The sequence below is a fragment of the Homo sapiens genome, chromosome 13 (assembly GCF_000001405.40).
Source record: "Homo sapiens chromosome 13, GRCh38.p14 Primary Assembly".
Lineage (NCBI taxonomy): Eukaryota > Metazoa > Chordata > Mammalia > Primates > Hominidae > Homo > Homo sapiens.
In genome coordinates this window covers 110300481-110312886 of record NC_000013.11, presented here as the reverse complement: position 1 = coordinate 110312886, position 12406 = coordinate 110300481, and the positions used below count along the sequence as shown (strand labels likewise).

Sequence of the window (12406 nt, the reverse complement as noted above, 5' to 3'; positions counted from 1 at the left end):
ATTCTCTTCCAGGCTCCAGAGCCAAAGCACGTAAAGTGTCTTGCCCTGAAGTCAGAACCCGGTTAGCAACAGGCTGGATTAGACTTTATGGCCTCTCAAGACTATTGTGTCATTCCTGGTCCCTGATTCACAAGCTCTATCAGCCAAGGCTGGGGGTTGCAGACATTGCCTCCTACCTTCAGCAGTGATCACACAGTAGACACCAGCAGACACAAAGCATGAGGCCAGTTTCAGAGCTTTCTCTAAAACCCTCTAATCAAAGACAAACATTCTTCTTCAGATAAAAAGAATGAGACATTCTCAAACCACTTTCTAGATGGTGATCTCTTCATTATATTATCAACACAGGGTTGAAAAGTTAAATCTCCATGGCACTCAGTTTTTCCCTTGAGTTTCTCTATTATTTAAACTACACATCCATTTTCTTTCCCTCTCCCCAGAAACACAATTAAACACAGTTCTTTGATTTTTATTATTTTAGCAAAATCTTTTTTCTATTCTAGAACCTTTTCCTCTTCACCTCTCTCTCTCTGGTTGTAAACATAGCCGCCTGGTCGTACAGAGCCTGTTTCCTCTCCTGCGCTTTTCGGTTTACCCTTCCTACCCACCTCTCCTTCTGGGATGCTGCTGACAAATCTCTGCTATTATTTATCGTGGCCAAGTCCTACAAGCCACCCATGGAGGAAGACTTTAACAGCCTCCAGAGAGCTGAGATATGCTTGTTTATCCACGAGCAGAGGAGGAACCCCGTGCTTTTCCCTTCTTCTCAGAGGGCCATGTTTTGAGCAATAGCGCTTCAGCTCCAGGAAATGCAGGAAAGAATTGTCCTTCCCGATCCTTACAGAAAGCTCTGGGCCTCGTGCGGCATGAACACCTCTCCTCCCTGTACCAAAGCCTGCGGAAAGGACTTGCCACCGCAGCTGCCGGCCTGGAGGGCAGGGAAGGCGGTGGCAGCCAACAGGAAGGTCAGGCGAATTTCCTGGGGCTGGAGCCCCGAGGACAGCCTGGAAACTAAGCGGCAGGGTGGCAGGCAGGGGCCCCGCACTGATGCCTACGTGAACCCACGTCTATTGTGGCCCCAGGTCCCGGCCAGAGGTCCTCAGGTGACCACCCAGCCGGCTGCATATTTGATCCCTCAGGCTGCTGCCAGCCTCTGGAGATAGGTGACAATGCTCAGAGCGGCTACAGTGAGTGCTTTCAAGCCTCCATGAAGGTTAGAATAGGCAGCCGAGGGGAAGTCCCTTAAACAGGCCCAGGGGATACCTCCTGGCACCCAGGCTGTGCCAGACCCTCCAAGGCGCTTCACATGCACCCACACACCTCACAGCACCCCCATCTATGAGGTGGGTGGGATGAGTAACACCTCCGTTTTGGGGGAGAGGAGAACTAGGACGCAGAGGCTTGGCGAATGTCCGCCCCAGGCGGCAGCCCCTCAGCTGCCCACCAGACTGAGAACTGCACCCCGTCACCTGCCTCAAGTCTGGGATGGGACCCCTGTGTCACACTGCCTTACACGAAGCCATTTTGTGCATCTTGGCACCACATTCAAACAAGGGCACCTTTAGAAAGGGCACCTTGGACAGCAGGGAGTGTGTCCTGAGGTGCCCACACAGATCACCTGGGTTCACACTGAGTCTAGAGCCCAGGCTGCCCCGTGGGATTTCGGCTTCCTTTCCTCCCTTTGGGAAGGGTCTTGCTTCTCTCCTTCACTTGCTGCCCCTGATCCTCACAGTGGGAGAAGCAGAGGAGGAAGGAGGGGGAGAGCCTCCTTCCTAGGAATCAGTGCCCGCTCCACTGTTAGTCCACGGTCAAGACCAAGAAGAAAGCACCCACACCCCAGGAGACTCAAAGACTGAAACTCAGGAGTGCCCTCCCGGCCACCTTTCAGGCCCTGGGAAGCTCGGTGTGGAGGAAGAGGCCTGGGTTCTAATCCGTCTCATTCAGTTACAAAGACAGGAACCTTGGGCGAGGGCTGCAAACCCTTTGTGGCTTTTCTCACCTGTAAAATGGGGGTAATAATAGTTACCTAGCTCATCAGTGTGCTTGCTTGTGAGGATTAGAAGCATTAGTACAGACAAATTGGCACACAGGAAGTGCCCAATAAGTAATCACCAAGGCTCTTCACTGCCCATCCTAGCTGCTTCCGAAACAAAACAAGCCAAAGGGCTCCCAGCGGCAGCCCTTTTTCCTGAACTGACCTACGCAGGAAAGAGTCCTTGCCACAATTAAGAAAAATCTTTAATCAATACAGTTGAAAATTGAAACATTATTTCACAAGGAACAGCCATTAAAGCCAGTGGTTACCAAGAAGTGAGTAAGTAGAAGACCAGCCCCTTGTTGAACGTAACAAACTACATGTCTCTTAACAACACATATTACTAGGTCCCTAGTAAAATGATTAAAAATATCTATTTTTTTTGGTTGAGTTAGAATCTAAAGCCCAGGAAAATAAAGTGAATTGGCAAGTAATCTCAACTGCCTCTCAACCCAATACTGTAGCTCAGTGGTTCCCAGATTCTGGTATCATGTGGGGAGGCGGAGTCCCGGACTCCACCCTGGAATGTCTGACCTGAAGGTCTGAGATGGGGCCTGACTTCTTAACAAGCCTTTCAGGGTTTAGGTCTGGGGGTCTAGGGGGCCTGCACTTTGAGAAGCTCTGCTGGGCAATCAATGTTCTTGGTGCCATCCAAAGATCAAAGAGTCAAAGAGACTGGGGGTGAGCTTGCAGCAATGATGAGGTTTTGGGGAGGCATAGAGGTGTCCTATCTGCCTTAGGGCACTTGGCCTCTGTGAAGCCGTAATTCTTCAGAGTACGGAAACTGGGGCTCTGGATTTAAGAGATTAGGGCAGAGCTATGTTTAGTAACTAGGTTTTTTTTGTTTGTTTGTTTTGTTTTTAGACAGAGTCTTGCTCCGTCGCCCAGACTGGAGAGCAGTGGTGCTATTTCGGCTTACTGCAACCTCGGCCTCCTGGGTTCAAGCAATTCTTGTGCCTCAGCCTCCTGAGTAGCTGGAATTACAGGCAAGCGCCACCAAGCCCGGCTGATTTTTTTGTATTTTAGTAGAGACAGGGTTTTACCGTGTTTCTCCCAGGGTGGTCTCGAACTCCTGAGCTCAGGCAATCCACAGGCCGCGGCCTCCCAAAGTGCTAAGATTACAGGCGTGAGCCGCCATGCCCAGGCTAATACCTAGATCTTTAGACCTAGGTGCTTGGTGGTCTTTCTACCAATTTTAGGATGAGTTCAGAAAAGAATACCTGGGACTCCCACCATCCTTAGGCATGAACATATGGAAATTATAAAAGTGGCTCTAAGGGACAAAGGGGTGCAGGTGGCAGCACAACCAAAGCACACACAGCCCGATGTGGTATTTTCTAGGGATCGCCCCCTTCTTTGAGTGTGCGTGCGTGCGCGTGCATGCATTGCTTCTGGTTCATAAATCTGAGCCAAGTCTTACATGCAGTACAGACCTGTGCATTAGAATTCACAGGGTCACTGGGCTAGTTCAAATATCTAGGTTCTGATCTTAAGTCGGGGCTGGGACGAAGAGACAGACCTGAACTGGAAGAAAACTTTGGCCTGGAGTGCTCTGGTCAAAGTCTCCGAGTCCTCCTCTTACTTCCCAAACCGAGCTTTGAACCGGAACCAACAGCAGCGGAAAAGTAAAGTTAGCAGCTCTTCCCCAAGTGGGAGTAGCTCCTCATCACTCACTGCCTTTAAAATCCTGGTTTGTTTTACATCAGGGCAGAACGATGTAAAAACAACAGAATTCAAATGAAATCATGAACACGTTTGCCCTTTGTACCTGTGTACTGCTCTGGCACAGTGCGCGCTGAGGAGGGAGGGGTCGTTCCCAGGAGGAATCCACCTGGGCCCCGGCTGCCACAGGGCAGGGCTACTCCATCGGCCACAGTAAGGAGAGGAGGGACAGCGGACATCTCGAAAGCTCCCTCCGCTTTCAGCTCCTGTCTAAACATTTGAGTCCTGCACCGAATTCACCTACCAAACCTCTTCATTTTAGCCATGGTTACATAAAGCTCAGTAAAAGTGGCTCCTACTCTTTAAACAAAACGTATAAAATGGACAAAGCCTCGCAGTGCAGTCGCCAGCTGCACCCACGGTATCGGCAGGGCTGTGCACGGCCGGCGTGGAGGGGCAGGCTCGGCGAACAGGATCCCAGTGTGGCGCCCGGAGCAGCTCTTCCAGGGCCGGAACAGGACTTGGGAGAAAACGCGGTTTTTCTGCCATTGTTCCCTCGCAATGCTTCAATTCAAACAATACTAAGGTTGTCTCGTTCGCCTCCTCGCCCCGCCCCTTTACCCAGAGACTCCCATTTAAAAACACAAAAAACCCTCAGTCCGTGACAGAGACTCCCCACCAGCTCCCGAGTTCCAGGAAAACTTTTTTCGCCCTAAGCCTGGCGTCTCACTGCCTAGTGACTGACACACTTTCCTGGCCTCTACGGCTGCAGCTTTGCCCAAAGCAACGAAAACGGTGCCTCAGGCTACATTTTAAGTTCCCAGTTCCCGTGAAAGGCCGACGCTTGCAAAACACAGGATTGACGCTGGGAACCCAAGGGGAAGGAAAGGTGGAAAGCATGATGAGGGAAGAGCAAGCTTTCTCAGAACCTTGGTGGGCAGCCTGGCGAACATCCACACGCACACACACACTCGGGAGCGCACGGACGAGCTGCCTTCTCCAAGGCCACTCAAACGTCCCAACCACTCTCGGGCGCGCAAGTCCAAGCGCGGGAGCCAGGACTTACCGCCAAGACGCTCTGGGCGAGGAACCCCACGGTCACTGTCCCCAGCAGCAGCCACCTGCATGGGAAAGGGAGGAAGAGAGACGTGAACGTGCGGGCCCGGCTTGTCAGTCCCCGAGAGTTACACCGAAGGGTCCATGCGCGCGTGACCCACGGGGACCAGGCAGAAAGTCGCTTACCGCCGTAGGGCAGGGCCGGCCACCGCGCGCTGGTCTCTCCCCATGCTGGCGGTTCGTCCACTCTGGGCCCCGGTCAGTCCCACTTAGCCTAGAGGCGACAGACAAAGCGAGTTTAGCGCAGGATGAGGGAGGCAGCCCATCCTCACCGCCGGTCTCGGTCCGCGAGACGCGGGGACAGCGCGGTGCGCGGCCCGCATGCAGGGGTGACCGGAGGGCCGTCCCCCCCACGACCCGGAAAGAAGGAGAGCCTCCCGTTAGGCCCCTGTGGGTGCTCCTTGGCCGAGGAGCTCGGTCTTCGCTCTCCCACCCTCCCCCTTTCTACTCCCAAGCAGGAGAGCGTGCAGCCCTAGCCTGCACAAGGCGCTCCAAGTCGGTGCTCTCGGGCCAGGGTCTGGGCGCCGCTCGGGGGTCGCTCTCACCTCGGGCTCGGCTTCAGGGGCTGCTGCCCGAACGCATTGGCCCTTCCAGAAGCACCCGCCGGCGGCACACCGGCAGGGCGGCCGGCCTTGCTGGGCTCTCTGGGCGCCGGCCCCGGGGGCTCGGGCGGCCCCTTTCGGTCCTCGGCCTGGATCCGCGAACGCGCGGGCGCGAGGGGTTGGGACGCGGGAGCCTCTTGAGTGCGGAGCGCGGAGCCCTGGTGTCCCGGCGCACTGCAGCCACACTCCCGGGCCGCGCGCTCCCGCCGCCTCTTACCCGCGCCGCAGGGTCCTCCCCTTTGAGGCGCCGCCCGCGCACCGCCGGGGGGGAGGGGGCAGCGCCAACAAATTGGGGAGCTCGGCCCGCCGCGCTCAGGTCTCCGCTTGGAGCCGCCGCACCCGGGACGGTGCGTAGCGCTGGAAGTCCGGCCTTCCGAGAGCTAGCTGTCCGCCGCGGCCCCCGCACGCCGGGCAGCCGTCCCTCGCCGCCTCGGGCGCGCCACCATGGGGCCCCGGCTCAGCGTCTGGCTGCTGCTGCTGCCCGCCGCCCTTCTGCTCCACGAGGAGCACAGCCGGGCCGCTGCGAAGGTGAGTTCCCGGCCAGCTCCGCTCCCGGCGTCCCGCCCCGAGCTTGGGCGCCCCGAGAGGCCCCTTTGTCCGCGCCTGGACCCGTCCGCCTGCCCCTCGGGGGTCGCGCGTGGCACGGCCAGGTGCATTCTCTGGGCCGGGGTTCGTTGGGGGTCCCTGTAGGCTACGATCGCGCATTGGTGGACCGAGCCTCCTTTGTTATGGTATGGGTACTGGAGAGTTAAGGAATTCCTCCGGGGAAGGGAGGAGAAACAGCCCGCGCTGTGGCGGGGTGAGGGTGCCTGGGAGCCGGCGGGATTTGAACCCGCGTCGCGGGTATGCTCGGCAGCTGGGCGCCTTCACCCGTCCCGGGTGCGCGAGGGAGTTGGGGGCTGGAGGGCCGGGAGCGCCCACCCCGCGCTGCTCAGAGACCCACACTGGGAGCTCCGAGCTCCTAGCCCCTGGGAGCAGCTTTGGGCGTATTTCTCCTTGTCTGGAGACCCTGGTGGCTGAGGCTGAAAAGCTCTGGGCCCTTTGCCTGGAAACAGCTGTATCTGAGCTTTCCCACGACTGCTGCCTAAGGCGCGCTCCAAGGCAGAAGTGGGGCTCTTCTGGACGCCCGGCTTGAAGAAGCCACCATCCTCAACTCGTTGCCTTCTATTAATATATATTTTAAAAAATTATAACCACATTCATATTTGAGCATGAAACCAAAGTGAAACTCCATGTCATTGTTCCATGCACAAATTGTTTTTCTAGTTTTCATTTCCTTTGGTTATGTGCTTGCCCAGAAAGGATCTGGGAGATCGGTTTGCAGGAGGTTTGCAGGAGTCGAGGCTTCCAGCCGTGGACAAGCCTGGACTGACTGTTGTTTCCTTTTTTCCTTCCCCTCCGAGAGAATAAAGACTTCAGCTGTTGCTCAGTGTCACAGCCATGCAGTCCCACAGGCCGGAAGGTGTGGCTTCTGAACAGATTTTGCAGTTTCTCCCTCAAATGCTTAAAAATGATTTTTGCTACTTACCAGATTTTCCATACTTATTCTTTTACTGTTCTTAATCTTGTTCTTTGTTTTCCTCTTTAAAAAAAAATTTTACTTCTCTCCTGGAAGAATGATACTCACTAAATCCACTTAACTGTATAGAAATTGTTAACTGTTACATGCCAGAGAGAACTGGTGATATACACACACGTCTCCTAATTGAGAGCTTATCTCCCTGGAGGCAGCTTCTCCACTGGGTATTGAAAGGACTAATGATTACATCAGCAATTAACTTCAGATTGTACCTCCCAGCCCAGTCTCCCCAAACTTCATAGCCAGTTATTTAAACACTCTTTGGTAATGATGACAAAATACTTTCCAAAGAACAGGCTTGAGAGCACTTTATTTTGGTCTAGAAATATTGACCAAAAGATTGAACGCTTCCAAGGTGAGATGGTGAAGCCTGATGATGGTAAGGTAAATCAGAGAAAGTTCTTCATTGGGAAATAGGAGCTGTTTGCATTTCGATTTTCTGATGGATAATGTTAGCAAAGCAAAGAAAGCTAACTGTAAGAGCTGGCTTTCCAAACATCCAGGACTGTAGAAAGAAAGAACCACTCAGTTACGCAAATCCTGTTCTCACCCGGGAAATCAAACGCATTAATGTTGAGTTGGAGATGATTTTACTTCCCTTTAATCATTTCCTAAAGCTCAATTACATTCCCGGCCACTGTCTTTGCAGTGTCCCTTGAGGTGCCATGGACTGTTTTTAAGAGATGCAGCCTGTGGGCACTTCTGATCACAGCTGACCTCACAGATATTATCATTACTCTGTATTTTCCCTGGCTTAATTAGAGAAAAGTGCTTAATGTGCAGATGATGTATGGGTATACAAGAAAATCACTTAAAAACTGAATCTGCCTAATTTTAAAATTTGTCTCACTTTTCATGCCATCAATAACATTTTGGCTTACCTCCTTCCAAAATCAGCTGTTAGATGTACCATAACACTGAAATAGCTTCAATACTGATCCAAGCAAAACATAATTTAAAAGCACATTTTGAATGATAAGATGCTGTGGATTTGATCAGATCCTCATTCAGAAGCCAGTGGAAGTGACTGTTGGCTTACCTCTCCTTTGCACTGTCTGAATCACACTTCACCTGCATTTGTACATCCAGACATCACCTGCTGTGTGCCAGGCATGAATTGCCCTTATTGTTTTTTCTTCATGAAAGGCTGTTTAATTTTGTATTTGCTGTATCTGCTATGGTCATATTGTTTACGTACTCATGGGTGGATTTTCTAAACCATTGATTTTATCCCACGCTGAACCTACCACTCTACTCCCCGCTCCTCCCTTCCTCCACTTTTCTTCAGCAAGAAAGGAGGAATAGCTTGCAGGCTCCAGACAAACACGTGCCAGCAGTGTTCTGATTGTGAGCACCCTCTACTCTTAGTCACTCAGTTGCACTGGGCGGAATGAACCCTTCCTGCAGCAGCTTTCACACTCCCCTCTAGCTGGTTCTGTGTGATGCTTCTTAACAGATTATTTCTCAGGATTAGAAACGTGAACTTTCCCCTCAGTGTGGTGATGCTTGTCCAGCAATACTGTCATCTCCTGACCATTAGTCACCACCTCTGGGACTGAATGACCTAGAGTTCAAACTAAGTGAGATTTCATTCCCATATAAGTATGGACCATGTTCTACTGGAAATGTAGTTTAGAAGAGAAGGCTGGTTTCTGAATCAGTCCCAACAAGAGCAGCATCGCCCAGGATCTCAGGAGTGATATTGGTGAAGCTATTCCTTATATCTGCAAGCTCTTTATATTAATAGATGGAATTGGACTAGGGTGAAGGGACATAACTTTAAGACCAACCAGAAGACACAATGTTCATGTACTCTGACTAGATTCACAGAATTATCAATGCTATATATTATTAATAGTCACGTGTACACAGGATGAGTGTGCTTTAGGCACCAGAGGACCTTACATTTTATACCTGCTTTTAAGCAGATGATTTGGGGGTACTCATCAAACTCTATACCTCAGTTTCCCTGGCAGGTCTGTCCCTTCCTCACACGGACCCGTTTGTGCCTTCCTTCATTCCACACACACATCGGGAACACCTCCTTCCTGCCATGACCTTGCCAGGTGCTGGCCATGCGGCAGGGACTCACCCCCACTCTCTGTCCTCAGGAAGGTCAGGTGAGAAATATTGGAAAAGAAACAGACGAATCCAAGTCAGGCTGGTAAATGTCACAATCAGGGGAATCGAAGGGCTATAGGAACACTGAATCCAGCTTTGGGGAACTCAGAGGAAACTTCTGGGAGGGGCTTCCGCCTCTGAAATATGAGGGAGAAATAGGAACTATACACCAGCATGTCATTTCCATGTGCACTGTGATGGTGTACTATACACAGAAGACATGGTCATTCTGCCTGTCTGCTCTCAAGTCTAAGGGTCTTTGCACTGAAAGATGACCTTCAAGTTTGCTCCTTTGAGATACCAAAATGTCATTGTTTCTGTGATTAACAATCTTGGTGGCTGAACTTTGCTCTCAGAGGGGTGGAAAGAATTGGAAGGGCAGGGTTTAGGAGACCAGTGTTAAAAAAGAGCTCCCAGCTCCAACTGAGGCCCCAGTATGTGGTCCTGTCCCTTTTCTCGGAGGTGGCAGGTAGGCAGGCAGGGGATGTTTGGAAAGTTGCGGCATGGATGACTGATTCTAGTCAGGAGTGCCTTTAGGAACTGACCCAGAAAACCTACCCTTACTTGGGCCAGGCCATGAGGGAATTCACAAAACCCTACATTATTCATTAACAAGGCTGTTGGCAAATTTCTGAGAACTGGCAAGGATGGTCATAACAAGTTCAGTTATTTAGTTAAGAGCTGGTAAAGATTTTGCAGACAAATGGAACCCACCAGTGATGATCTAAGACAAACCTTTGTAGACAGTGGAAGAACATCAAGAAGTGGCTAAATGACAACAGTGGTTTTGATGAATTCTATGATATTTGTTATAATAATTGTTCCCCAAATTGAAGAAGGATTAACCTCATTAAAATGTCTCACAAGGAGGTTTGGTATTTTGAGTTCTTGGGCTAGAGTCAGCTCAAGCAACAATAGAATGCCTAAAATAATGTTAGAGCATTGTTCTTCCTGCTATTATTAAGCAACCATGAAAAAATGTCAACTATAGAACAATACAAAAGACATATTCCTACCATTCTTATGCATACAATGAAAAGGGATGTCAACCAGAGCATGTTTTAATGGTGAATTTCTTCTGAGTCTTTTGACACTGTAGGAATGACTTTGGGGTGAAGACTTTGATAGTCTGGTACACAGTGAGCTGGTTCCAGCCTCGTTTCCCTCCATTGTTCTCCTGGTCCTAACTCTGGGACATGGGTCCCTCCTAGCGCTCTTTCCGTGTCTCTGCTTCTGTCTTCTTCCTCTTCCCATGCCCCTCAGTGTGGGTGAGCTGCAGGGGCAGCTCTGCGTGGTTCTCTTTGTTCTTTGCACTCTCTAACTTCCACTGGGGGTCTGCTCCATGATGCACCATTACTCCCTGAAGGGGACTCCAGAACTCCTTCTTGAACTCCAGTTCAACGTCTTCACATTTCCACGCGACGCCTCCCCTTGGCTGTCTTGCTTTGATCTCAAACTGAGCAAATATGTTCAGGACTGAACTCATTTTTTACCTGGACTGACAACCCTTCCCGACTCTGCCATTTTGGTCCTGGTGCCCTCTGATGTTTCTGGGTACAGAGCCCAGAGACTATGAGGCTTTAGCCTTTCCTCTTCTTTATCCTCTGCATCTGCTCAGTCACAAAGTCTCCTACTTCTTTCTGGATGCTTCCCAGAGGTGCCCGCAGCTTTCCCTTCCCACGGCTGGGACTCCCTTCCAGCTCTCTTTGCCTTGTGCCAGGATCACCACTGAACCCTCATGGCCCTGCCCCTCCTCCCAGCTCTCGTGCTCTCCAGCCCATTCCTCAGGCTGTGAGAGGCTAATTGCCCTCAATTCCCTAAGTTATGGTCATAGACTTGCTGGTTCAGGATCTGCCATGGCCACCTACTATCTCACTGGGGTTCCCCCTCTTTTTGGCTTGGCTGTGCATTCCCTTTGTGGTACGGATCTGTCAAATTTTTCTGGCCTCGTTCCTTGCTACTCCTCGACATACGGCTTTGGTAACTGTAAGGAAGGATAATCTCTGCATTCCACAGAAGCTGTTTCATCTTCTCCTGCTCCCCGGCCTGCAGTGTCCTCTCGTCTTCCCTCGGCTAGCACGCATTCCACTGAAGCTCCTGAAACAGTTCGCAGCCTGCCCCTTTTCCACGTGATCCCCTCTCGAGTCAGAGTGGTAATGTGAAATATTGTTGACTATCTGGATTTTAAAAAATCCAGCCTAAATTGCAATTCTTGCTCTGCCATTCAGTAGCATTGTAATCTCTTTGAGCTTGGAGTCTCTAATACATACAGTGAGGGTAGTCGCCATGTCTAGGGAGAGCATGTGCACATGAAGTAAGCACTCGAGCGGTGCTGGTTGTGGTTGCTGCCACATGGCTTGGAGTTACATTGTCATTTGTGTCTTGGTTCCAACACTTGCCAGGACATAACTTCTTTTTAAAGCATCCCACCATGTTTGGGAGAGTGCCCGACACAGAGGAGGAAATCAGGAATTAATTACTTGTAATTGGTTCCAATTTTCTAGCTGCCATTCTCTTGGGAGCCCCCTCCCCACCCCCGGAGTGTCCTAGAGGGAGCTGCCTGCTGGCTTACACTGTCCACCCCTGTGGTATTACTAGTGAACACAAAGATGAATCTGGGCAAACGAAGGTGTTTCCCCTTAATTTGGAATTTGGAGTAGATATTCCACCACAGACTAAACATGACTTGGAAATATGTACACTGCTGAACACTTTATGTAAATAGTTTATTCCGTGGTTTAGTAATTTTCTCTGTGGAAGCTTTGCTGGATTTGGTTTTTAATCTGCATACTATAAAAACATTTCATTTTATCTGAGTTTTAAAGCTCACTTGATCTTTAAGGTACAAGACAAATGCCAAGTGTCCAAATCAGATATTAAAGCAATCTTTTCCAGGCCACTTGGGCTTTTGTGTTTCTGTTGTTGTACCTCTTACCTGATAAAGGAGAGCTATTCAACCTCCTCATCTTCTGTTGCTTTTAGAATCAGTACATTGTTCAGTTGTAAAATTACCATTGTTTAGTAATACATACACATACACATCTTAGTGTACTGTGGCCACTGATTCCAGCAAGGACCACAGCCAGAGATACTGGCCGTGAGCTGGAAGCATCCAGTTTGATGTCAGTTGCTCTATTTTCATTTCACCAAATACACCAACAATTGGGGAAGCCATTTGTGTATTCACTCATAGAGAGTGCAGCTAACTTAAATAAACATTGCTCAATTCAGCAGAAGATCTGGAGGCACACTATTCCTGTATTGGACACAATTAAAATTGTTTAAAGATTT

The 12406-nt window shown here is 50.4% G+C and overlaps 2 protein-coding genes across 3 annotated transcripts in view, besides 2 other annotated features; one reads left to right on the top strand and one right to left on the bottom strand.

The window, feature by feature from the left end:
* Positions 1–5603, bottom strand: part of COL4A2 (collagen type IV alpha 2 chain) — a 205926-nt gene extending 200323 nt beyond the window's left edge. The window contains exons 1-3 of the mRNA NM_001846.4: positions 5359–5603; positions 4940–5027; positions 4764–4818 (exon numbers count right to left, since the gene is read on the bottom strand). Of these exons, the coding sequence (NP_001837.2) occupies positions 4764–4818; positions 4940–4983 (99 nt within the window). The 5' untranslated portion in view covers positions 4984–5027; positions 5359–5603. The remainder of the gene's footprint in view (positions 1–4763; positions 4819–4939; positions 5028–5358) is intronic.
* Positions 4308–5140: an enhancer, noted in NCBI's record as "H3K27ac hESC enhancer chr13:110960094-110960926 (GRCh37/hg19 assembly coordinates)". NCBI's record gives its function as "activates a minimal SCP1, AML or CMV promoter by ChIP-STARR-seq in naive H9 embryonic stem cells {active_cell/tissue: H9 hESC(naive)}" and the evidence as "EXISTENCE:reporter gene assay evidence [ECO:0000049][PMID:30033119]".
* Positions 5141–5974: an enhancer, noted in NCBI's record as "H3K27ac hESC enhancer chr13:110959260-110960093 (GRCh37/hg19 assembly coordinates)". NCBI's record gives its function as "activates a minimal SCP1, AML or CMV promoter by ChIP-STARR-seq in primed H9 embryonic stem cells {active_cell/tissue: H9 hESC(primed)}" and the evidence as "EXISTENCE:reporter gene assay evidence [ECO:0000049][PMID:30033119]".
* The window catches only part of COL4A1 (collagen type IV alpha 1 chain), a 158195-nt gene continuing 151518 nt past the window's right edge, over positions 5730–12406 (top strand). For both annotated transcript variants that reach the window (NM_001845.6, NM_001303110.2), the window contains exon 1: positions 5730–5943. In NM_001845.6, coding sequence (NP_001836.3) covers positions 5860–5943 — 84 coding nt within the window. In that variant the 5' untranslated portion in view covers positions 5730–5859. The remainder of the gene's footprint in view (positions 5944–12406) is intronic.